This window comes from Homo sapiens, chromosome 6 (assembly GCF_000001405.40).
Source record: "Homo sapiens chromosome 6, GRCh38.p14 Primary Assembly".
In the NCBI taxonomy this organism is placed as follows: domain Eukaryota; kingdom Metazoa; phylum Chordata; class Mammalia; order Primates; family Hominidae; genus Homo; species Homo sapiens.
Window position 1 is genome coordinate 43030291 of NC_000006.12, and position 23679 is coordinate 43053969.

General features: G+C 53.2%; 1 protein-coding gene, 1 long non-coding RNA gene and 1 pseudogene across 15 annotated transcripts, besides 5 other annotated features; 1 reads left to right on the forward strand and 2 right to left on the reverse strand.

Annotated features, from left to right (window-relative positions):
* RN7SL403P (RNA, 7SL, cytoplasmic 403, pseudogene) lies at positions 5906–6210 on the reverse strand (annotated as a pseudogene).
* On the reverse strand, positions 7327–23561 carry CUL7 (cullin 7). Of its 14 annotated transcripts, none has more exons than XM_005249503.4 (26): positions 23421–23561; positions 21919–22506; positions 21322–21473; positions 20678–21178; positions 19970–20108; positions 19673–19869; positions 19117–19372; positions 18042–18279; positions 17858–17963; positions 16590–16817; positions 16221–16311; positions 15946–16117; positions 15696–15801; positions 15297–15392; positions 14937–15112; positions 14462–14595; positions 13158–13340; positions 12784–12890; positions 12512–12694; positions 10625–10785; positions 10240–10456; positions 9866–10136; positions 8552–8697; positions 8276–8402; positions 7977–8182; positions 7327–7721 (listed from the first exon to the last, which is right to left on the reverse strand). In XM_005249503.4, exons 2-26 carry the CDS (start codon positions 22496–22498, stop codon positions 7398–7400), a joined length of 5097 nt encoding a protein of 1698 aa, XP_005249560.2. In that variant the 5' UTR covers positions 22499–22506; positions 23421–23561; the 3' UTR covers positions 7327–7397. The 14 variants fall into 14 exon arrangements, with proteins under 14 accessions (XP_005249560.2, XP_011513322.2, XP_047275556.1 ...); XM_011515020.3 differs by having other exon boundaries at positions 7977–8194; XM_047419600.1 differs by having other exon boundaries at positions 19646–19869.
* On the forward strand, positions 10746–14856 carry LOC124901318 (uncharacterized). Its single transcript, XR_007059581.1, has 2 exons — positions 10746–10834; positions 12768–14856. It is a non-coding gene; the product is annotated as an uncharacterized LOC124901318 (long non-coding RNA).
* Positions 15531–15722: a silencer, noted in NCBI's record as "fragment chr6:43013559-43013750 (GRCh37/hg19 assembly coordinates)". NCBI's record gives its function as "represses an EF-1alpha promoter that drives an FKBP-Casp9 reporter gene in an ReSE screen in K562 erythroleukemia cells {active_cell/tissue: K562}" and the evidence as "EXISTENCE:reporter gene assay evidence [ECO:0000049][PMID:32094911]".
* Positions 20354–20854: an enhancer, noted in NCBI's record as "H3K4me1 hESC enhancer chr6:43018382-43018882 (GRCh37/hg19 assembly coordinates)". NCBI's record gives its function as "activates a minimal SCP1, AML or CMV promoter by ChIP-STARR-seq in naive H9 embryonic stem cells {active_cell/tissue: H9 hESC(naive)}" and the evidence as "EXISTENCE:reporter gene assay evidence [ECO:0000049][PMID:30033119]".
* Positions 20855–21355: an enhancer, noted in NCBI's record as "H3K4me1 hESC enhancer chr6:43018883-43019383 (GRCh37/hg19 assembly coordinates)". NCBI's record gives its function as "activates a minimal SCP1, AML or CMV promoter by ChIP-STARR-seq in naive H9 embryonic stem cells {active_cell/tissue: H9 hESC(naive)}" and the evidence as "EXISTENCE:reporter gene assay evidence [ECO:0000049][PMID:30033119]".
* Positions 21905–22740: an enhancer, noted in NCBI's record as "H3K27ac-H3K4me1 hESC enhancer chr6:43019933-43020768 (GRCh37/hg19 assembly coordinates)". NCBI's record gives its function as "activates a minimal SCP1, AML or CMV promoter by ChIP-STARR-seq in primed H9 embryonic stem cells {active_cell/tissue: H9 hESC(primed)}" and the evidence as "EXISTENCE:reporter gene assay evidence [ECO:0000049][PMID:30033119]".
* Positions 23300–23669: a silencer, noted in NCBI's record as "silent region_17217". NCBI's record gives its function as "represses an Ori minimal core promoter by ATAC-STARR-seq in GM12878 lymphoblastoid cells {active_cell/tissue: GM12878}" and the evidence as "EXISTENCE:reporter gene assay evidence [ECO:0000049][PMID:35858748]".

Sequence of the window (23679 nt, forward strand, 5' to 3'; positions counted from 1 at the left end):
GTGGTGGCTCACACCTGTAATCCCACCACTTTGGGAGGCCGAGGCAGGCGGATCACCTGAGGTCAGGAGTTCAAGACCAGCCTGGCCAACATGGTGAAACCCCATCTCTACTAAAAATACAAAATTAGCTGGGTGTGGTGGTGGGTGCCTGTAATCCCAGCTACTCAGGAGGCTGAGGTAGGATAATCACTTGAGCCTGGGAGGTAGAGGTTGCAGTGAGCCAAGATCGCACCACTGCACTCCAGCCTGGGCAAAAAGAGTGAAATCACCACCGCGCCCCCCCCCCCAAAAAAAAATGGCCAGGCATGGTGGCTCACACCTGTAATCCCAGCACTTTGGGAGGCAGAGGCAGGTGGATCACGAGGTCAGGGGTTCGAGACCAGCCTGACCAACATGGTGAAACCCTGTCTCTACTAAAAATACAAAAATTAGCCGGGTGTGGTGGTGGGCGCCTGTAATCCCAGCTACTCAGGAGGCTGAAGCAGGAGAATTGCTTGAACGCGGGAGGCGGAGGTTGCAGTGAACCAAGATCGCGCCACTGCACTCCAGCCTGGGCGACAGAGCGAGACTCCGTCTCAAAAAAAAAAAAAGTCTCAAGTAGATAGTGTCTCCAGGGTCCTGGCAGAAGCAAATGTAATCCTTTCTTGAGGATTGTTTTTTTTTTGTTTGTTTTTTGTTTTTGAGATGGAGTCTCACTCTGTCGTCCAGACTGGCAAAAATTAAAATGTGAGAAGTATAAAATAAAAAATACAAAATGTCTTATGTTTAAAGAAAAAGTGTGACAAATGAATATCAAAAGGTACTAAACTGGTGTGATTAAAAAGTAAAACTTAAGGCCGGTCACGGTGGCTCACGCCTGTGTTCCCAGCACTTTGGGAGGCCAAAGCGGGTGGATCACGAGGTCAGGAGATGGAGACCATCCTGGCTAGTACAGTGAAACCCTATCTCTACTAAAAATACAAAAAATTAGCCAGGCGTGGTGGCGGGTGCCTGTAGTCCCAGCTACTCTGGAGGCTGAGGCAGGAGGATGGCATGAACCTGGGAGGCAGAGCTTGCAGTGAGCCGAGATCGTGCCACTGCACTCCAGCCTGGGGAACAGAGCGAGACTCCATCTCAAAAAAAAAAAAAAAAAAAGTAAAACTTAAAAAGAAAACCTTTTAAAAATGAAAAGTAGGGCCAGGCATGGTGGCTCGTGCCTGTAATCCCAGCACTTTGGGAGGCTGAGGTGGGTGGATCGCCTGAGGTTGGGAGTTCGAGACTAGCCTGGCCAACATGGTGAAACCCCGTCTCTACTAAAAATACAAAAAATTAGCCGGGCGTGGTGGCGCATGCCTGTAATCCTAGCTACTTGGGAGGCTGAGGCAGGAGAATTGCTTGAACCTAGGAGGCGGAGGTTGCGGTGAGCCAAGATTGCGCCACTGCACTCCAGCCTGGGCAACAAGAGTGATACTCCACCTCAGAAAAAAAAAAGTACACTACGAGAAGTTAGAAACTTTATGGTTAAGCAGCAGATTAGACTTCTCCCTAAAGGGAGAATGAACTGGAAATAGATCTGAAGTTACACAGAGAGAGCACTGACATACAGAGAAGTGGAAACTAAGGAAAAGAGGTTAAAAAACATGGAAGAGGCTGGGTGTAGTTGCTGACACCTGTAATCCCAACTTTTTGGGAGGCATAGAGAGGACTGCTTGAGGTCCTCAGTTGGGGACCAGCCTGGGCAACATAAGGAGACCTTGTCTCTAAAAAAAAATTAAAAAATCAGACATGTGGCACATGCCTATAGTCCCAGCTTCTCTGGAGGCTCAGGCTGGAGGATTGCTTGACCCCAGGAACTTGAGGTTGCAGTGAGCTATGATGGCATCACTGCACTCCAGCCTGGGTGACAGAGCAAGATCCTGTCTATAAAACAACAAAATGAAGATAAATGTGAGACTTGACAATCAAAATTTCAGGAAAGAATATTTCAAAGAGGCTGGGCATTTTCTAGAATTTTTTTTGAGATGGGGTCTCCCTCTGTCGCCCAAGCTGGAGTGCAGTGGCACGATCTTGGCTCACTGTAACCTCTTCCTCCCAGGTTAAAGCTATTCTTCTGCCTCAGCTCCCTGAGCAGCTGGTATTTCAGGTGTATGCCACCACACCTGGCTAATTTTTTTTTTTGTAGGGATGGGGTTTCACCGTGTTGGCCAGCTGGTCTCAAACTCCTGACCTCAAGTAATCCACCCACCTAGGCCTCCCAAAGTGATAGGTTTACAGGTGTGAGCCACCGCACCTGGCCTAGTTTTTTTTTTGTTTTTTTTGTTTTTTTTTTAAGGCTAGATAAATCATAAGCCAGGAACATTTGAAAGTCTATCCAGCCTGGGCAACATGGTGAAACTGCATCTCTACAAAGAATACTCAGGCGGCTGAGGCAGGAGGATCACTTGAGCCTGGGAGGTCGAGGCAGTGAGCCGTGATTGTGCCACCCGTACTCCAACCTGGGTGACAGAGCAAGACCCTTTCTTAAAGAAAGAATGCCTACCTTAAAAGCAGCTCTATGCCCCCAGTTAGGAGACTGAGGTGGGACAATCACTTGAGACTAGGAGTTCAAAGCTGTAGTATGCAGTGATTGCGCTTGTGAACAGCCACTGCACTGCCGCCTAGGTAACACAGTGAGATCCTGTATCTAAAAAAAGGCAGCTCTTGGGCCGGGCACGGTGGCTCACACCTGTAATCCCAGCACTTTGGGAGGCCGAGGAGGGCGGATCATGAGGTCAGGAGATCAAGACCATCCTGGCTAACACGGTGAAACCCCATCTCTACTAAAAATACAAAAAATTAGCCGGACATGGTGGCACGTGCCTGTAGTCCCAGCTACTCAGGAGGCTGAGGCAGGAGAATCACTTGAACCTGGGAGGCGGAGGTTGCAGTGAGCTGAGATTGCGCCACTGCACTCCAGCCTGGGCAACATAGTGAGACTCCATCTCAAAAAAAAAAAAAAAAGAAAAAGGTAGCTCTAATGAAAAGGAAGAGAAGTAGAATCAGAAGTTAGGACATCTATTGCTTGATGCTTCTGGGATGGGTAAGACGTAGTTCTGGTGATAGAAGTTGAAGCTGCAGCATAATGAGAGATGAAAGAGAAACTGCTCTTCTGGTGATTTTAACCCTAGGGATGTAGCTACTGGGACAGGAGGAAGTGAGGGACCCAGTGCTGCAGGGTCCCTGTTGTCACATATGTCAATCCTACTTTAAAGTCAAATAATGGATTCTGGCTGATAAAGCCTATCAGAATTATGGTGTTGATACGAAAGTGTCACATAGCCACCAAAATGTGTTCTCTACTTTCTTGCTTTGCTCTGATTAGCTAAGTCTTGGTCACATGGCTTTATAGCACTGGGAAAACCAGGATCTGGTCTTTTATAGGGTAGGAAGTGAGCCCTATCTTTTGTGTAGATTTGTGGCGGGGAGTTTCCCAAGCATGGGAAATGGGCTCAGATGATGTGGTTATAAAATGTGAATGTCCATTAAAAGGCAGTCAGTGTTGGCTACTCTAAGCCTTCAAATTGTTGCTTTTCCCCTTCAACAGGGACCAAGGGGAGATACTGGAAACCTCTGAGCTTCAGCTGTTGGTTTTTGGGTTTTGTTTTTGTTTTATTGAGATACAGTTCACTTAACTATACAGTTTACCCATTTAAGGTATACAGTGTTTTTTAGTAAATTTACAGAATTGTGCAACTATTACAATTTTGGAACATTTTTGACACCTCCCCCCAAAAAAACCCCTATGCCCCTTAGCAGTCATCCTCAGTCTCCTCAGCCCTAGGCAACCACTCATCTACTTTCTGTCTTTATAGATTTGCCTATTTGGGACATTTCCTATAAATGGAATCTGTATGTGGTCTTTGCTTGGTTTTGTTTTTGGGGTGGTGGGGGCTGACTACTTAGTCTTGACAAGCCAAGGTCCCAACCCAGCAGTAGAAATATAAGGAGTCACGGCTGTGAGGATGGCCTCACAATGGGCTCAGGGTAGTGAACTTCTGTCCCCTAAGTTATCTCAGAAATGAGGCCAACTCTCTGCCCTCTAGAATGGATGGCCCTGAGGGAGAGAAAGGTTCATGTCCTTCCTGGCTGGTGACAGAAGGCTGGACTGTGCCTGAAATCAAAGCTTCTCACCTGGATTTGGGCAAATCAAGCAGTCCCGAATCTCAGGGTGGGGTGAGATGTGTGCTGAAGAGGGCAACACAGGAGCTGCACTGCAGATGGCGACATGCAGGGTTTCAAGGCCAAAGCTGGTGTGTTCTTCCCTTAAGAATTGCTGTAGGCTAGGTGAGGTGGCTCACACCTGTAATCCCAGCACTTTGGGAGGCTGAGGTGGGCGGATCACCTGAGGTCGGGAGTTCGAAACCAGCCTGACCAACATGGAGCAACCCTGTCTCTACTAAAAATACAAAATTAGCCGGGTGTGGTGGCGCATGCCTGTAATCCCAGCTACTCGGGAGGCTGAGGCAGGAGAATTGCTTGAACCCCGGAGGTAGAGGTTGCAGTGAGCCGAGATCACACCATTGCACTGCAGCCTGGGCAACAAAAGCGAAACTCCATCTAAAAAAAAAAAAAAGGCCGGGTGCAGTGGTTCATGCCTGTAATGCCAGTGCTTTGGGAGGCCGAGGTGGCTGGATCACCTGAGGTCAGGAGTTTGAGACCAGCCTGACCAATATGATGAAACCCTGTCTCTACTAACAATACAAAAATTAGCTGGGCGTGGTGGCGGGAGCCTGTAATCCCAGCTACTCGGGAGGCTGAGGCAGAAGAATCGCTTGAAACTGGGAGGCGGAGGTTGCAGTGAGCCGAGGTCGTGCCACTGCACTCCAGCCTGGGTGACAGAGCAAGACTCTGTCTAAAAAAAAAAACAAAAAAAAATTATTGCTGGAGACTTTTTCCATCGCAGATGAGCAGGAAGGTACCCCATGGGAGACTGGCAAGGTGACTGAGTAGGATGCCCAGGGGCTGATGAGGGCAGTAAGTTCAAGGCATAGCCTACAGCTCAGCCCATGGAGGAGGCCTCGGGACAGTAGCAGAACGGGGCTGTAGTGCAAGTAAATCCTATCGTCTGACCCTATATGCACTTCATGCTGGCCTGACTACTGGACCCCACAGCAGGAAGCTTCTTTGAGTTTCTGGTGGAGAAGGATAATCTTATAAAAAGCAAGAAAGTCCAGAGAAGGGCAGAAAGCTCTGGCACTTGAGAGTGAGCACAAGAATATTGGGCCTGGGCCAATAAAAGCCTATAATCTCTGGTACCAAGGTGAAGAGGCACTAAGTGACCAGCTGCAGCAACCCCAGTGTACCTGGGCCCACTGTGCTGGGCCCCCAGCCTGCTGCTGCTGCCTGTCTGGACTCTGCCCCAAAGGGCAGCTGTCACTCAGCAGGCTGGCCCCTGCTGTGAGAGCTACCGACACCATGGGACCAACACTGCAAAGCAAGCACTACGGAGCCCCTCTGCCCTCTGTATTATAGCCTCATCCTGAGCAGCCTGACTCTCCCACAAGCCATGGCCTTTTTTCCCCTAGACTCCAAATCTCAGTCCTGGTGGCACTCAGTTCTCTCTGTCTGGCTTCTGTGCCCTCCTTTACCACCTGACTCTTCCTCATCCCCCTTCCCCCTCCTTCCATAGCTTTTTCTGTCACCTCTGGGCTACGAGCCTCGGGATGCCTGGGTCATCCCTCCTTTCCTCCTCCCCAGTAGCCCTGCCAAGACACAGAGCTGCACCTTTGGCACAGGATCCCCTGGCCTGACCTGAGCTGCCCTGCTTCAGCAGGGGTGGTGCCAATGGAGCCAATTATAGTAGCACAAGCAAACCTCCCCAACAGCAGCAGGGCAGAGGCTCACCTATGGGGGTAGTTAGGGGTAGGAGTTTTTGCCTTTCTGAAATAGAGAGAGGGTCTATGTCACCTAGGCAGGAGTGCAGTGGATATTCACAGGCACGATCCCACTACTGATCAATCAGCATGGGAGTTTTGAGCTGCTCTCTTTCTGACCTGGGCCAGTTCACTCATTTATTTATTTATTTATTTATTTATTTATTTATTTTTGAGACGGAGTCTTGCTCTGTTGCCAGGCTGGAGTGCAGCGGAGAGATCTCGGCTCACTGCAACCTCCGCCTGCCGGGTTCAAACAATTCTCCTGCCTCAGCCTCCCAAGTAGCTGGGACTACAGGCGTGCACCACCACACCCGGCTAATTTTTGTATTTTTAGTAGAGATGGGGTTTCACCATGTTGGCCAGGATGGTCTCAATCTCTTGACCTCGTGATCCGCCCACCTCAACCTCCCAAAGTGCTGGGATTACAGACGTGAGCCACCACGCCCAGCCGCCAGTTCACCCCTTCTTAGGCAACCTGGGATCCCCTGCTCCTGGGAGTTCACCATATTGTTGCTGAACTTGGTGCAGATACCCGAATGGCAGAGCACACTGCAGCCCAGAACTCCTGGGCTCAAGCGATCCTCCTACCTCAGCTTCCCGAGTAGCTGGGACTAAAGGTGCATATAGCGCCGTGCCCGCAGGGGTAGGAGTTTTTCTTTCTTTCTTTTTTTTTTTCTTGTTCTTCCAAATCCCTCGTTTTGAGAATCAAGGGGTAGGAGTTTGATGACAGCGTGTGCAGCTCTGCAAGGACAGAGAAGGGGTGGAGGCAGAGGAGGGGAAGAAAGGGGCAAAACGGAGGAGCTTGTGGGAGTAAGAACTGTGCTAGAACAGTTCTTTCTGGGCCTATGCCATCAGATGGAATACACATTCAGGTTGCTGGGTGCCTGCAGTGGCCACAGGGGTCAGTGACCTCACCTTCATCATGTCAGTCTTACTTAGGGAAGGCACCAAGGAACCACATTCACTGTTGGCAATGGTGGCCAAAATAGAGACTCACTGGCAATGCCTTCATTCACCACGTCAAATGCTTCCATACCTGTTACTTGTCGCAGTCCCACAGTGACTGGGCCAGTTCCACAAACGAGGAGAATTAAACCCTGCTCGATAATCTGCCCAAGTTACAAACCATCTGGTGAGTGGCCAAGTTGGGCTTGGATCTCCAGCCTGCCAGATGAAAGCACTTCTGACCACACACCCTCTGAGAAGGGGCTGAGTGCCATCATCCTGCCTGGTCCTCTCAATCTCTGCCTAGAGGGGGTGCTAAGTCACACCTGACTCCCTCTGCCTTTCTCCCAGTCTACCATCCTCACCCTAACAAGACCCTTGGCATATCATGCGACAGCCTCAGTGCCAAGGGCTCCTTCTCCACCAGCAAGGAAAACCCTCCCACCTCCCCACTCAAATCTCTAGCAGTCGCCAAACACACACGTCATATAATCAAACTCTTGGGTTTTATTTCTGTAAAAGCTCCAGCTCTACCTTCCCCTGACCCCAAGTCTAGGGCTACCGGAAGGTAGAGAAGCTCTGGGTGGCAGTGCAGGAGGCATAGGGCACACCCCGGGAGCGAATCTGTAGGGTATGGAAGGTGAGGGGTGGGTTGGGGCCTGAGGAGCCTGGGTTCAGGGACTCAGTGTGAGGCTCCATGACAGTCACAGGGACTGCATAGGACAGCACCTGGGGCCGGTCGTCATGGCGTCTCAGCGTGCCCTTGCCCAGGAGGTGTAGGATGCAGGAGAGGACGTCAGTGCTGCTGCATGCAGACCCCTTACCAAGGCTGCTGACCAAACCCCTGGGAGGACACGGGCCCTTCTGCCAAGCCTCCAGCACCTGGTGTGGGGGAGGAAGGGAGAAGCGGTAGTTTAGAGGCAGCTGACCCCTCCTTGCTTGAGCTTCCACTCCAACCACCAGCTGCTAGGACAGGATGCCCCAAGGACACGAGGTACATCCCGACCTCACTCCTCACACTCCTACAGGCTACACAGTGAACCAGGTGCCTCACCACACGTGCACCCACCTTGTCCTGTAGACTGCTCCCCCAACCCCAGCAAAGATCTGTCACCCATTGTGCCCACCCCTGCCTACCAGACAGACAAGCTGGTCAATGTGCAGCCCCTCATCTCCATGGGCCTTGAGGATTCGGACGATGAGGCAGTTCAGAAGATTCCGTCTCTTCTCCAAGTTCTGGCCGTCTTCACCCTCAGCTTGCAGGTACGTCTGAGGTGGGATGAGCCGCACAATGTCCCATCTCGACCTGGGTTCCTTGCTGCCATCTCGAATCTTGAGGACCCCTGAAATAAATGCTGATCACTCACTCAGTGGAGAGCCCACGAGGAGCCTGGCCCTGCCTCAGAGCAGAGGCCCCTCTGGCCCTAAGTGCATACCTCCTGGTATATCCTTTTGCTCGTGAAGGTCCAGGGGGCCTCTTGAAGAGGTGAGGGGCCCAATCGCCTGATTGAGCATGTCTGCGGAGAGCCCTGAGAACGCCAGCAGACTCTCCACAGAGACCGCCTTCAGAGAACAGATGGGAGACATTCAGGGCCTCCCCAAGGAGTGGAGAGAAGAGGATGGAGGGAAGAAGCAGAGGGAGTCAAGGTTTTGGGAAGAGAGGCAAGGGACAAAGTGGGAGACAGGAGAGAGGTGCAGCGGGGCTGGGCCACCTTCAGGTCGTTGAGATACAGCAGTAGCCACATCTGCACGGTGGACACATGCAGGGTCTGGTTCCCAAACTGCAGCTCAGCCCAGCCCAGCCACGTCCACTGCAGTCGCCTCTGTGAGCCTCGCTCAAGGGCAGGGTGGCTCTGACCTGGACCAGGAAGGGGGAGGGAGACAAAGAGCAGGTGAAAGGAGGGAGTTGGTGTTGGAGGGAGGGTGCACGCTGGTCACGCTCTGTTTATCTCTGCAAGGCGTGTGACCCCAGCATTTATGGACACTGGGGCTTCTGGTCTGAGCTTCCAGATCTCAGCCTTCTCTGGGCCTGCCTCTATGGCAAGCCTCAGGATCTGGGAGCTATCCTATGCCTAGCCTGGTGCCAAGCAGGTTCTCATCAGTGCCTTCGAGGATTGCCCCATGTGTTTTTAGGGAGACAAAACCATGAAGGGAGGAAGGACTGGGGCTCTTATCAAGCTGGAATATTATGACAGGAAACAATGTCTCCCCTATTAGGAGGCGCCCTGACCACAGGTCTGAGCCTCTTCCCCCTCCTGTGTTGCTGCCAGCTCAGGGATCAGCCCCCGATGGGGAGTTTAGGATGACAGGTGACTGACCAGAAAAGAGCCAGACACCTACTCATATCTGGTGGCCTCAGGTGCCTCCTGCCTCCATCCTCCCCGTCACCCACAAAGAGATTCCCAGGTCTTATTTTAGAACAGAAAAAGCAATGGTCTGGGGATCAGGTATCTGACAGCACCTGCCACCCCCAGCCACCAAGCTCCTGCCCTTTGTTCTCAAAACCACTGTTTTTCCCATGGCCTAGGGAATTCTTATCCCTAAAGACTATCTCTCCCTGAATCTATAAAAACAAAAATTAAAAATGTAAATTAAAAGACCAACTCTTTTTTTTTTTTTTTTTTTTTTTTGAGATGGAGTCTCGCTGTCGCCCAGGCTAGAGTGCAGTGGCACGATCTCGGCTCACTGCAACATCTGCCTGTGGGTTGAAGTGATTCTCCTGCCTCAGCCTCCCGAGTAGCTGGGACTACAGGCACACACCACCACACCCGGCTAATTTCTGTATTTTTAGCAGAGACGAGGTTTCACCATGTTGGCCAAGGCTGGTCTTGAACTCCTGACCTCAAGTGATCTGCCTGCCTCGGCCTCCCAAAGTGCTGGGATTACAGGCGTGAGCACTGTGCCCAGCCAAAGACTATCTCTTTTTACATCAAGCCTCCCAACATCAGGGTCTGCCCCCAACCCCAGGTCCTTTCCTAGCAGCCCACCCTCTCCCCAGTCCCCAGTCCCTCTGCCTGGCTGCTCACTCTTGTTGTAGAAGTTGGAGTATCTGTTCAAAGTGCCCCTCAGGTAGGAGGGCAGGCAGGTTCTGGGGTTCAGTGTGTGGCAGATTGAGGCAACAGGCCAGGAGTGTCGGGACAGGACAAGCACAGACACTTCTGGCATTGCCCCTTCATAGTAGAGGTCCTCATTCTCCTCCTCTTCCTCCTCTCCCTCCGCCACATCCACCACTGCTGCTGCCCCAGCTTCCTCTTCCTTCTCGCTCTTGTGCTCCTTGCCACTGGCCCCAAGGCCCACCTGAAGGAGCACAGGGTTCCCAGATGCCATGGCCTCCTCCAGTCTGCTCCACGCCCCTCTTCCCCCTACCCTCTTATTTGCTTATCCCTTCCAAGGCACTCACCTGTATTTTCTTCTCTGTATCCTCCAGCTTCAGGAGTTCCTGATCCAGCTGCTGGAGCTGGTAGACGTGGAACTGGCGCTGCAGCTCCTTAGAGGTGCTCAGGCTCTGCAACATCTGCTGGGGGAGGCGGTTGGGGAAGCAGGGACCGATCTGCTCCAGCACGGCCCCCTCCAGCCAGCTCGAGACCACGCCCAGGAGACGGTCCGCCATGTAGTGCCTGCAGTGCATGCAGCCCGGGCCAAGCCTCAGTGTGGGCACCAGTGTGGCCCAGCCTCCCACTCCAAGGCTCCAGCCTGCCTCTATCCCAGACTTCCAGGCCCATGAGCTGGCTCTGCCACCATCATCCTGCCTCCCGCCAGCTCCCGCTCCTTAGGTCCACACTCACTGGTAATAATGCTCAAAAGTGGTGGCTATCTCCAAGCCGGAGAAAATCAGGACAGCTTGCAGGCATTGCTGCAGCTGTGCCAGCCTCTCCATTTCCTGGGCTCCACCGATCCGGCTGCCCTGGATCTGCTGGTCAATGTGCCGGGCGAACTGCTCACTCACCTGAGCAATGGCAGAGCACAGGAAAGCCATGAATGAGCGAGCAGAGCAGGTGAGTGGGGAGGAGGGATGAGGGTCTGGAAAGTAGATATGAATGCTGGCAGCTTTCTAAGGTGGTTGGTGCTTTCATACAACTATTTTATAAGATCATTAACCATTGTACAAATTAGCAATATTAACAATTATGGAAAGTGTCTTTTCACATTGTGTCTAAAAAATCAAACTAATAATAATCATTCAAAATGAGAAAATAAGACCAGGCGCAGTTCACGCCTGTAATTCCAGCACTTTGGGAGGCTGAGACAGGCAGATGGCTTGAACCCAGGAGTTGGAGACCAGCCTGGGCAACATGGCAAAACCCCATCTCTACTAAAAATACGAAAAAATTAGCTGGGCATGGTGGCACACGCCTATGGTCCCAGCTACCCAGAAGGCTGAGAGGACCACCTGAGCCCAAGAGGTTGAGGCCGCAGTGAGCTGTGACTGCACCACTGCATCCCAGTGTGGGAGGGAGTAAGACCCTGTTAAGAAAGAAGTAAAGAAAGAGAAAGAAAGGGAGAGAAAGAAAAAGAAAGGAGAGGAAAAGAGGGGAGGGAAGGGAAGGGAAAGGAAGGGGAAGGGAAGGGAAGGGGAAGGGAAGGGAAAGGGAAGGGAAGGGAGAGGTGGCTCATGCCTGTAATCCCAACACTTTGGGAGGGTGAGGCGGGCGGATCACGAGGTCAGGAGTTCGAGACCAGCCTGACCAATGTGGTGAAACTCCGTCTCTACTAAAAATACAAAAATTGGCTGGGCGTGGTAGCATGCACCTGTAATCCCAGCTACTTGGGAGGTTGAGGCAGGAGAATCGCTTGAACCTGGGAGGCGGAGGTTGTGGTGAGCTGAGATCGAGCCACTGCACTCCAGCCTGGGCAACAGAGCGAGACTCCGTCTCAAAAAAAAAAAAAAAAAAAAGGAAGAAGAAAGAAAGAGAGAAGGAAAGAAAGAGAAAGAGAGAAAGAGAAGGAGGGAGGGAGGGAGAGAAGGAGGGAGGGAAGGAGGGAAGGAGGGAAGGAAGGAAGGAAGGAAGGCAGGAAGGGAGAAAGAGAGAGAGAAAGAAAGACGGACACAAGGAGGTAAGTTACATACACAAAGATGGTCCTGATGCAGTGTCACTGATAAACTAGGACTGGAGGCTACACAAGGAGCCTCATGTTCCTGCTGCTCTGTACCCTGCTTTCCAGGGTGCTTCTTGCATTTTAGCTCATCAATTGTGGGGGGTTTTTTTGTTTTTTTCTTTTTTTTGAGATGAGTCTAGCTCTGTCACGCAGGCTGGAGTGCAGTGGTGCAATCTCGGCTGACTGCAACTGCAACCTCCACTTCCTGGGTTCAAACGATTCTCCTGCCTCAGCCTCCCAAGTAGCTGGGAATACAGGCATGTGCCACCATGCCTGGCTAATTTTTGTATTTTTAGTAGAGATGGGGTTTGGCCATGTTGGCCAGGCTGGCCTCAAACTCCTGCCCTCAGATGATCTGCCTGCCTCGGCCTCCCAAAGTGCTGGGATTACAGGCATGAGCCACCACACCTGGCCACTATTTATTTTTTTCAATTTTTTAAACTTCTTATAACATGGCTATATACTAACATATGTTCATCATAGAATGGGAATGGAAGGGTGGGTCATTTGGAGGAGGTGAGGAAGGGAGAGTTTGTCGGAAGAGACCCAAGGATGAGGCAAGGGTAGAGGCTTACGTGGGCAGCTTTGAGAAAAGGGAGCTTCAGCAAGGCTCCCGCACAGCCATTTTGCAGCGCCAGCAAGAAGGCTGCCCGAGGCCCAAACAGTTCAGAGCTTGAGTTCTGCAGAATATTAAAGTGCTCACAGTAGCGTGGCACAAAGTCATCATCCCGCCAGGATGAGGTCAGAAAATTGTTCACCTGGAAGGAAGGGGCAGGAGCATGAAGACACAACCCAACATGCCACCATTATGGTGTCCCCTCTCTCCCGCAGGCCTGCTCCTGCCCACCTGCTTCTCCACCACGGCCCGCCAACAGCGCGTCAGGTTTCTCATGATGCTGCTTGGAAGGCCCCGGGTAGCCAAGGAGCTCCAGTCGTGGCTTCTGTTTCTGCCTTCTGTAGAGACCAAGAAAGTGGCAGAGGCAAGGAGGGTGCAGCCCCTCCACTCCCAAGTCCCCATCCAAGGGGGTTCCCTGAGGCCTTTCCTGACATGCTGCCACCCAAAATGATGTTCATGGATGGAGGTGACACAAACCTGGAAGATGAACAGGCTGAGCCCATAGGGAGGGGAAGGATGGGGATGGACAGAAGCCTGTGGTGTACACATGGGGCCCAGGAAAACGCTCCTGACTAGAGCTCCCCACCTGAATCTCCACTACTCACTGGGCCGAGGAGTGGCCACCACAGGAGGGGGTGCCTCACAGGGCTCGACATGCACCAGCAGGTGAGTGAGACGGCGCACCCGCGAGAAGAAAGCTGGGCCGCGGCTCTGGGGGTTGAAGACAGCTTCCTGACACTCCAGGTACTGGTCCAGCAGCCAACCCAGGGGGCTAATGCCATCCTCATCTAGAGGGTGAGATAAACAAACCAAGGCACAGCCATGTCTGCAGGGAAGTGGGAGTGGTTGGGCTGAACAGGAGTGTGGAGATAGAGCAACTGGACGGAATGATACAAGGAAGGGGGGCCAGGTAGGGTGGTTTACGCCTGTAATCCCAGCACTTTGGGAGGCTGAGATGAGAGGATCGCTTGAGGCAGGAGTTCAAGACTGGCCTGGTCAACATAGCAGGACCCCATCTTTAAAAATAAGAAATAAGCATAAAAAAATAGAAAAGGCCAGGTGCGGTGGCTCATGCCTGTAATCCCAGCACTTTGGGAGGCTGAGGTGGGTGGATCACCTGAGGTCGGGAGTTCGAGATCAGCCTGACCAACACGGAGAAACCCCACCTCTACTAAAAATATAAAATTAGCCAGGTGTGGGTCAGGCGCGGTGGCTCATGCCTGTAATCCCAGCACTTTGGGAGACTGAGGCGGGTGGATCACCTGAGATTGGGAGTTCGAGACCAGCCTGACCAACATGGAGAAACCCCATCTCTACTAAAAATACAAAATTAGCTGGGCATGGTGGCCCATGCCTGTAATCCCAGCTATTTGGGAGGGTGAGGCAGAAGAATCACTTGAACCCTGGAGGCAGAGGTTGCAGTGAGCCGAGACTGCGCCATTGCACTCCAGTCTAGGCAACAAGAGCGAAACTCTGTCTCAAAAAAATAAAATAAAATAAAATAAAATTAGCCAGGCATGGTGGTGCATGCCTGTAATCCCAGCTACTTGGGAGGCTGAGGCAGGAGAATTGCCTGAACCTGGGAGGCAGAGGTTGCAGTGAGCCAAGATCATGCCATTGCACTCCAGCGTGGGTAACGAGCGAAAATCTGTCTCAAAAAAAAAAAAAAGAAGAATGATAAAGGGAGTGGGTAACAAGGCACCTCCAGCACTTATGGTGTCCCCTGACACTTGAGAGACATGGGAAAGGGGGCAGCCCCTGGGCTGTGAGAAGACAGCACTGGGATTACAAATGCAGGTGCCAAAAGGGCCAGGACATAATCCAGGTGGTTCTAGGGTAGAGCAAGAAGGAACTAATTAGTGGAACCAAGCCCTGAGATAGTAATGGGTCCAGATGTCAGGATGGTTACCAGGGGAGGTGATGTTCTGCACCACGGGGCTGACCAGGGCCTCCCAGCAGGTCTTGCCCAGAGCTTGGGCAGCCTCGTCATCAGGGAGGAAGCGGTCAGCAAAATTCTGCTCCTGGCGCAGAGCACCGTTGAGTCTGGGGGTGAGAATGGAGGAGGAAGGTGTCAGGGGCTTGAAGCATATGTTATCTCAGTGTCCACCCTTCCTAAGACTGCCAGCTAACCCCAGCACCCAAACCGAAGGCCCCCTGGTACTTCAGAACTGCTCTGTGCTAACTGGTATATCCCATTCCCAGCCCACTGGAGAAATCTTTTCTCTTTATCCTTTCTTCCCCTCCCACAGCTCAGAAAACTCCAGCCCCCTCCCCACGCATATTAAACCTCCATCTCACAGCTTCTATGGACCCCTGCCTGCCAGCTATTTGCAATAGCCTTACCTTTCCCACAGACACAAGCATACACGCACACTCTCACACACCTAGAACTCAGGTGCAGGAGGCTCCTGCGGTCCTCTGCCATGTCCTGGCTCCAGGCCTGTGCCCGAACCATGTAGAAGAGGCGTGTGTGACGACAGAGCTGCTCCCGGAACACTGGCCAGAACGTGGGCTTGGGGCCTAGGATCTCTAACCCCCGAATGCGCGTATCAATGCCACCCTGAAACACACACAGGACTATCTTCACTCGCTCCACACCTTGGGATGGGCTGGGGTCAGCTACGCCCTCGAACCTCACCCCTGGAGCTGCTCGAGACCCAGGCTGGTCCTCTGGCTTAAGATCTGCCTGTTTATGGGGCTCAGAGCCCCCTACCCAGGGCCACACCCCACATCCCTGGCCCCACCTGCTGGCAGCGCTTTATGCGGATCTGGATGATGGGCCAGAAGCGGGTCAGGTTCTCCAGGAGGATCACCCGGCTGGCAGAGGGCATCACATTCACCTGGCAGGGGGCAGAGAAAGCTGTCACCTCCACACATGCAGAGCCAAGTTGGCTCTAGGCTCCAGTCCCCTCACTGTTTCCCTCCCTTCCCCAGCCCTGGGATGTGTAGGGTCCTGACAAAGCTGTCCTCATGCCACCCTCATTGTTCAGGGCCTGGTGGCACAAGCACAGGGATAAAGGACACTACTTTCTGTGGGGCTCAAGACAGGTGGGAGTTAGAAAAAAGTAGGATAGGGCCAGATAGAAGCAGGAGGGCAGATCCTGTGAGGGGTGGAGTAATGGCTAATGGCCCTGGGGTCCTACCGAGTTGAGTTCCGTGTGAAGAGAGCTAGTGCTATCACCCCCGCACACCACCACTCGGGCCGGCATGTAACTCGAGTCCTCACTAGCCACAAGCAGAGTCAGTTGCCTGGGAGTGGGGAGGAAAAACCATTTGGAACTTGTAGACAGGGCCCATGGCCAAGTCCAGGGGGTGGTGCTTCCCCCAAAACAAACACAGGGGCGTCACAGGAAAGCACACGTGTGTGGCAAAGCACATGTGTGGGAGAGTTACCTGATGAGGATGCCCCGGCGCATGTGCAGGGTGATGTAGTGGGAGCCGGCGCTGCCGTTGGACTCCCAATAGGTCTTGGGGTTGTGGTCCGTCAGCTTGCTGGCCCGGTGCGGGTTGGAGGACACCTCCACCTTCTCCCAGCACTTGTCCTCCTTCACTTCCACACTGGAGCCTGGGGGCAAGTGGGAAGGGGTGGTGGTCACGGTCAGGTAGGGTGTAGAGGGGAAACAGACATAGGTGTGGGGAGGTGGAGCAACACGGCAACAGGCACGAACCCTGGCACAGGTATCTGAGGAACACATCAAAGAAAGGGATGTTGATGGGTTGGTGGGTTCGTCTGTGGTCTTCGATCTGGCCCAGCACCATCTGCAGCCAGAACATCAGAGAGAAGGGGCACAGGGGCAGAAGGAACACGGAGACACACACGGAAACACGGATGAAGGAGAGACCATGCAGCAGTGGGACTTCCTCTACAGCACCAGCAGAGCAGGCCCAGATGGGGCAGAGGGGAAGGGGAACAAATGCCCCAGGGTCACTAGAGTCACCTGCTGTTCCCAGCCATGGGAACACAGCCCTTACCCGCCACTGCTTGGGTTTCATATTCTGATGCCACTCTAAGCCCACAAGCTCCCCTTCCTCCTGACCTGGATGCAGCCTCCCAGGATGTTGGTGATGAGTTTGCGGTAGAGGTGGGCATGCTTCTCACACTTGAACACCATGTCCCGCAGCTCCTGAGCCAGCTCCAGCTTTCCCAGGTGCTTTTCCAGGGCCTTGGAGATAGCGTCTCTTGCTCCCAGCTGATTCAGCACCACGGCATAGTCCCTGCTCACTGAGGTCAGGCGGTGCAGGAAGAAAATCAGTTCCTGGAGCACCTGGGTGGGGACATAAGGGAGGAGATGAATGAAGACAGGGCGAGGGCCACAAGGGCACCTGCAGTAGCAGGTACCCACTGTGTACTCTGTGTACTGGGTGCTAGGGGTGCTACAGTGAGCAAGGCAGAGTGACGAAGTGAAAAGACAGGGATGGGGAGACACAAGAGCCAGGTGGTTAGAGAACCAAAGACAAACCAAAATGGAAAAGGGCACAAGATGCCCTGCTACTCTAGGGTTCTAGGCTGCTGATTATGTTGGCAAAAACGGCAGAGAGCATCCCTGGGTTCTTTCATCCAGGCCCTACTGTCCCAAAAACCAGTTGTAGGGCTGTGTTTTGAGATGTTCAGGCACAGACACCTGGATGGCTGGGAAGGGGCTGACAGGGACTGGGTTTGTGTGTGTATTATACCCAATGAGCCTGCCTTAGAAAGTAAATTCTAGGTAACAGCCAAAAATATAGCCACACTGCAAATACCTACTGTCACCATGACCCTAGTTCTCTGAGCCCTTCTGAAGCCTTCTGTGCCCAGGACTTCTCTGTAGCTCTTGCAGGGGACTCTGGTATGTGATGGGCGCTCTGCCTCCTTCATCCCCCTTTCTCCCACAGGCCCAGCCAAAAATGGAGCTATTGAAGCTCTTAATGTTTTATGTAATAATATCTCCATATCCTTTTGTGTAAAAAAGAGAGTGGCAAGATCACACATTTGGGTTTGCTTATATTTGCATAAGGGAACACGGGAAAGATACATAAATTAATACAAGTAGTTACCAGTAAGGGGTGTGTGGGGGACCCTGGGGGAACAGAGATTTGGGTGAGAGCAAGAATTCTCAGTGTATACCTTGTTAGAGCGTTTTGATTTGTGAACCATGTGAATGTATTACCTATTTAAAAAAAATAAAATTCAATTTTAAAAGCAAAACTCAAACCAAGAGCTCAAAGGCTCTATCACGCCCTCCAGAGCCTTGCCCAGCAGGTGTGCCTTGCCAGTGGCTGCCTTTATCCTCTCCCCCAGCCTCTCCCCAGAGCAGGGCAGGGGTACCTCTCGATCAGTGTTTGGGGACCGCAGGCAGGCCATGCAGGCATCCACGGCCTCGTGCCAGGGGAGCAGCAGTGCCTCGGGGAAGTCCACCAGCTGCTTCAGGATTCTGGGGGCAGAGAAATGTGTAGCCAGCCTCATGGACCCCCTTTGCCCTCAGAGATCCCACCTGTCACCATGCTCTCACCTCAGCACAGTCAGGTGCAGGGTCCTGTTAGTCTCCGGAGTGTCCAGGCTCTGCATCAGTGCCAGGAAGGGCTGCGGCTGCCGCTGCAGCTGCAGCAGGAGTGGCTTGACCTTGTTCTCCTGGGTCCCCTCTGAGCTGAGGGCTTGCTCTAGATCCAGGAGGATTTTCCCAGCTGGACCATAACCCTCCACCAGACGCTGCAGGGGAGTGTTGGGACTCTGAGATGGGGGTTCTTTTGCTACAGGAAGGGGACAGTCACAGGAGTTGGCCATTGTTAGTAATGTGAAGGCTCAGAAATAGATTCATAACTCTCAATCTTTTTCTCTAATTTCTCCTAAAAAATGTTTTAAATTTTTTAATCCCCCTAAAAGTTAGGTTTGGGGATCTAATCTCTGAATGTCATTGTAAGACAGCTTCATGACAAATTTTATATTCTTTTTTTTTTTTTTTCTTTGAGACGGAGTCTCGCTCTGTCACCCAGGCTGGAGTGCAGTGGCATGATCTCGGCTCACTGCAACCTCCGCCTCCTGGGTTCACGCCATTCTCCTGCCTCAGCCTCCAGTAGCTGGGACTACAGGTGCCCACCACCACGCCCGGCTAATTTTTTTTTTTTTGTAGTTTTAGTAGAGACGGGGTTTCACCATGTTAGGCAGGATGATCTCGATCTCCTGACCTCATGATCCACCTGCCTTGGCCTTCCAAAGTGCTGGGATTACAGGCGTGAGCCACCATGCCCGGCCTTTATATTCTTAAAATAGCAAAGTAGCTTCATCTGAAAACAGGAGAGCACTTCCCTTTATTTCAAAGCATGGAATATGTTTCTGTACAAGAGAAAAAGCTAAATGTGGGGGCTTTTTTAAGTCTTCAAAATTCTCTTGCAATTTTCTAACTTTACATCCTCCTTCATTCTTTGAGGGAACACAATGCCTGCTTCTCCGTTTGTTGCTTCTCTCTAAGTTGCAGCTTCTAAGGTGGCATCACTTCCAGAAAGGATTGCATAAAAATCAGCACAGACATCTCTCCTGTGCTACTGCCCTGAAGGTGTGTCAGCTCAGCTGCTGTGTCTGGCACCCACCTTCCACTTTGGCTGCATCTTCTGAGTCCTTAGCCTGGGCCTGCGCGTCTAGCAGGAGGACATCTTCTTGGGCTTCTAGAAGGGATGGGTAGGCTTGGTTCCCTGCTAGGGCTTCAGGCCCATACTTCTTGTAGACATGGCAGTTGATCAGGTCCCTGAGGGCACTGTCATTGAGTCGCTGTGGCAGAGTCAGCAGCAAGTCCTGGGCCAATTCTATGGGCACGGCCAGTTCAGCTAGGATCTCATCATCCAGAATCTGCCATCAAGGAGAAGCTCTCACTGCAGACAGCCCTGCCGACCCAGAGGCCCCAGGGAGCACTTGGTAGGGGTGGGGGTCTCTCTGCACACATACCCTCCATCCTGATCCTCTCACAGCTGGCAGCTGGCTCCTCCCAAACAGCTCACCCTCCCACCTCTGAAAATTCCAGACCCCTCCTCTGCAGCCCCTTCCACTCTCTGACCTCCACTTTTCATCCTGAGCCTTCCAAATGCTCTATACAGTCCAGCCCTTGCAATAGAGCCCTCCAACCTCTGAGTGTCTCCAGGCTGGCTCTACCTCCCCATCTAGGTTCTCCTGGAGGATCTGGAGAACCTCCTGATGGTCAGGTCCATCCAGCTTCTTGATGAAGAAGAGGAGTTCCCACCACTCAGCCAGGGTCAGGTGTTCACACTCCTCAGTGTCCTCATCCTCAGGCAGCACATAAGGCACAGCATAGAGTTCTGTCATGGGCCTCCAGCGCCAGGCAGGCAGGGCTGTGAAAATGGGCCAAGGGGCACAAGGATGTCACTAGCAACTCAGCAGGACCACCATTCCTCTGCTCAGAGCTGACCCTTGCTTCCTCCCTGAGCTCACCTCTACCCAGGACTCTACTGGCCACTGCCCCTTGGTACTCATCAGCCTCAACCATGTCCTCAATGTCTTCCTCAAAGCCCAAGATCTCCAGCATGTGCCAGTGCACCCAATAGGTGCGGCCTGTTGACTCCCAAAATACCTGGAGCATAGGGAAAGAAAGAGGGAAGGGGAAGGGAGGACTCACAAATGACTGGCTGTGGCCCAGTACTGAGGACTATAGCCCTCAGGGTGACCACCTGGCCAGGTTTTAGAAAAACCTCCACATAACAAAACAGCAGCATATGGAGAATACACACACACACACACACACACACACACACACACACACACACACACACACACACACAGGATGCCTTCTCCTTTGGGGGATGGGCCTGTCTCTCCTCTCACCCTGTCTTTCATGGCTTATGCCCCCACACTTCCTTCTGGCCTCCACCACTCCATCTCCCTGACCCTGACCTTTGGAGGAGTCTGGCTATATCAGTTTCTTCCCAGGTGTGAGTCTTCTTGACTTCACAGCCTCCTAAACCCAGATTTTCCCAGCTCTCAGAATGGCCCCCCTCTCAACTACTGACTCTTTTCACCATTCCAATCTTACCTAAAGCTTTCTCTTTGGGTGGCCTGCTGGAGCCCCCCCATATAGAAGTCCCAGCTCTGCCCTACCCCAAATAGACCCCCAACAGTATCCCACCACCATGTGCCACTCACCTGCACAGGAGGCACACCGTTGTTGCTCTGCCGAAACTCGCCCTCATCCCCGGCACTGATCTCCTCATAATCATCCAGCATCCGCACTCGCATCCCCGGCTGCAGTGTGTCCCGCACATACAAAGCATAGGTATTGCCACTTGCGAACTCAGAACGAGGGCGAAAACGTCTTGACCTCCTGAAGGAGGGCTGAGCCTGGGCAGCGGGGAGCCCTGGGCTCACATCTGCCAGCTGAGGCTGGAAGATGGAACCGGGGGACCGTGCTGAGCTCCTTGGTCTGTCTGAGGCCTGGTCCCAGCGCATGGCTTGCACCAGCTCCGAGATCAGGGTGCCCATGGCCATACTGAACTCCAGCTCCAGTTGACCCCTCTCCCCACTCAACTCCTCAGGAGCAGAGGTGTTCTGGGCTCCTGGCTCCGCAGCACTGTCGTTCAGCTGATCCAGGAGCGAGGTGACATGCAAATACCGCTTCACCAGGGAGAAGAGCACCCTTCCTGGGACCTGTGGGATACAACCTTTGGCCTATATCCACCTTGTCCCAGTTTAAGCCCCTCTCTCCATACCATCCTCTGCAGATAGGTGCAAAGGCCTGGACCCTAGATCTTGTTCACAAGTTCCCCCCACCTTACACCCCCAAAGGTTACCTGTGGTAGCTGAATGCCCTCGAAAGACATGGGGTGTTCAGAGAGCGTGGCCTGTGCAAACAGTGCTAGCAGAGCACAGCGGCTGTCAAAATCCAGGTGTTTCTCAATGGCTTCTTGTTGGCTCAGTGACAGAAGGATCTGAGTCCGGGTCCCTGTAACCCACACCCCAGTTGGTAACTTCTCCCTAATCTCACCCTTCCTAGAAATCTTAGACCCTCTACTCTTTCAATCCAATCCTTTTGCCACCACACAATGAGAAAGAACTGATTTGCTTCAAAAGCTAAAATTTGCTAACTTATACACATACACACACACACGCACATAAACACGATCTACAATAGTCTAAACTCTAAATTCTTCCTTTGCATAAAAAGCAACTAATTAATATGAGGTTCTTGAAGATAGTCTTTCCTCTTTTGGCAGATAACCCCCACCCTCACTCCCATGCCCACCTCCTTTTCTTCCAACTCTAAGAGAAGGGCAACAGAATCATTTACGTACTGATGAGATCAGAGGCTCCTGCCACAGTGTCCTGTGAGTCCCTGAGCCGACCCAGCCCTTCTCCTGCTTTCCCTTCCTCCCCACACTGCCCCTCACCAGCGTCATGGGAGGACAGGGCTTGTATCATCCGGCCTGCACTCCAGCGAATCTGATAATCAGGACTACTCAACATGTGCATGAGCAAGTCCAGGACCCTTGGGTCCTTGAATACTCCAGTGAGGGGCTCAATGCTGGCATAGGCGCTGAGCACGTGGACAGTGTGAAGTAGAGGAGCAGGAGGGATAGTGCCCACACACTCCTCCAGCTGCCGAAGGGCTCTCTGAATGAGGGACTTCACGTCGGTTTCCATCTCCTCCAGCACAGATTTGTCCAGGGCCCCAACCTCCCCTGCAGACTCCTGGGAGGGCCCGATGACCTGGCCATCCTCGCCCAGCATCTTGTGGCAGTTGGCATAGATCTCATCCTTGGACATCCACAGCAGGATGTGCTCAGCCTTGCAGTCCACTTGGCCAGAGCCCCCGTCCCCCTCATCGCCACGCCGCAGGATGAGCCAACGGATCTGGTACTCAGGATGCCCATCATGGCCCACGCGCTGGCGGATCAGCTCATCAGGATAGGCATGTAAGCCGGGCCCCAGGGGCACCCTGAATTCCCTGTAGCGGAGTTCTCCCACCATCCTGGCACCTGGAGCACACAAGGAAAAGAGAACAGACAAGCTAGAGGAAGGAGAGGTCAGAAAATCAAAGATATCCAGGAGGTGGGGAAGCAAATGGCAACAGCTGTCAGGCGGGGTGGGGTAAAGCCAGGCCCAGGAGTTGCATGCTGCACGCTGGGTGGGGGCAGGCCTAAGCAGAGAACACTGGGGTGTTTGTTGTGAAAGAACACAAAATTTGGGGGCTAAAAGGAAGGTCCCCAAGACCCTGTGGCCTGGAGTGGGTTGATATGGAACAGTGGGCGGACTAGTGGGGGCAGGGCAGCCTTGGAGTTACAAGTGAATCCCAAGGCCTTGGAACAGGCAGCAACCTATGGGGTATGTGAAGCCCAGAGGGGTATGTTTGGGAGGGAGATCGTGAGTGTGTGTGAAAAGGGGTGCTGTCTCTAAGGATTGGAGCATGGGAGTGCGAGACCCAAGTTAAGAGTCCCGAGATCGCAGAGTTAAGAGACCTGAGAACTGGTGGTGGAGTGGGAGGGCAAGGCGCGATGGACTAGGAGGAGGCACTGGTGGGTTGGAGGCGCCTCCGACTGGAGCAACTGGAACAAGAGGGCTGGTGAGGGCGCCGCGAGACCCAGGGCAGGGTGCACAGACCAGGTAGGCGAGGGGCTTGGGGACCGAGGTTGGAGACTGGAGAAGCCAGGGGCGCGCGGTAAGGTGGGGGAGAGGGGATTAGGCCCCATAAGCTAGAACCCCGAGGCACGGTAGGATGGGGACCGAGGTTGGGTGAGCGCGAGGCTCGATGGGCTAGTGGGCAGGGAAGGAGAAGCAAGGGGCCGCGGTGGGGCTCTGGCCACCTCAGAAGTCCACCGGGGTCCTGGCGCGAGGCCTGTCCTTCACAGAGCAAGGGACGCGGCACAGACGCTGGCGGCGACTTGGGCCCCACCTGGGCCCCGCGAGGGGGTCGAGACGGAGAGACGGGAGGGGGCGTGCCTCCGCGGAACAGAGCTGCACCCGCGTGAGTCGGCAGCCACTGGGGCAGGGTGGGGCCCGGTCCCTGCCAGCGGCTCCGCCAGCCAAAAGCCACGGCTCATTTCCGCCCGACCCAGCGGAAAGCTAGGGGCCCTGGGAGAGCGCCGGGGCGGAGCCGAGGATGCCACCTTGGCGACGCAGCACCTCCTTCTTTGCGCCGCCCTTTCCTCTTC

Bases quoted from the DNA above. Each gene is read 5' to 3' on its own strand.
- CUL7 (XM_017011533.2), bottom strand. From the start codon at position 22,498: ATGGTGGGAGAACTCCGCTACAGGGAATTCAGGGTGCCCCTGGGGCCC. The intron at 12,891-13,157 runs GTGAGTAGTGGA...TGGTCTCTACAG, and splicing joins GGTGGCCACTCCTCGGCCCA to AAGGCAGAAACAGAAGCCAC. The intron at 10,786-12,511 runs GTAAGCCTCTAC...GCCATTGCTCAG, and splicing joins CTTTTCTCAAAGCTGCCCAC to GTGAGTGAGCAGTTCGCCCG.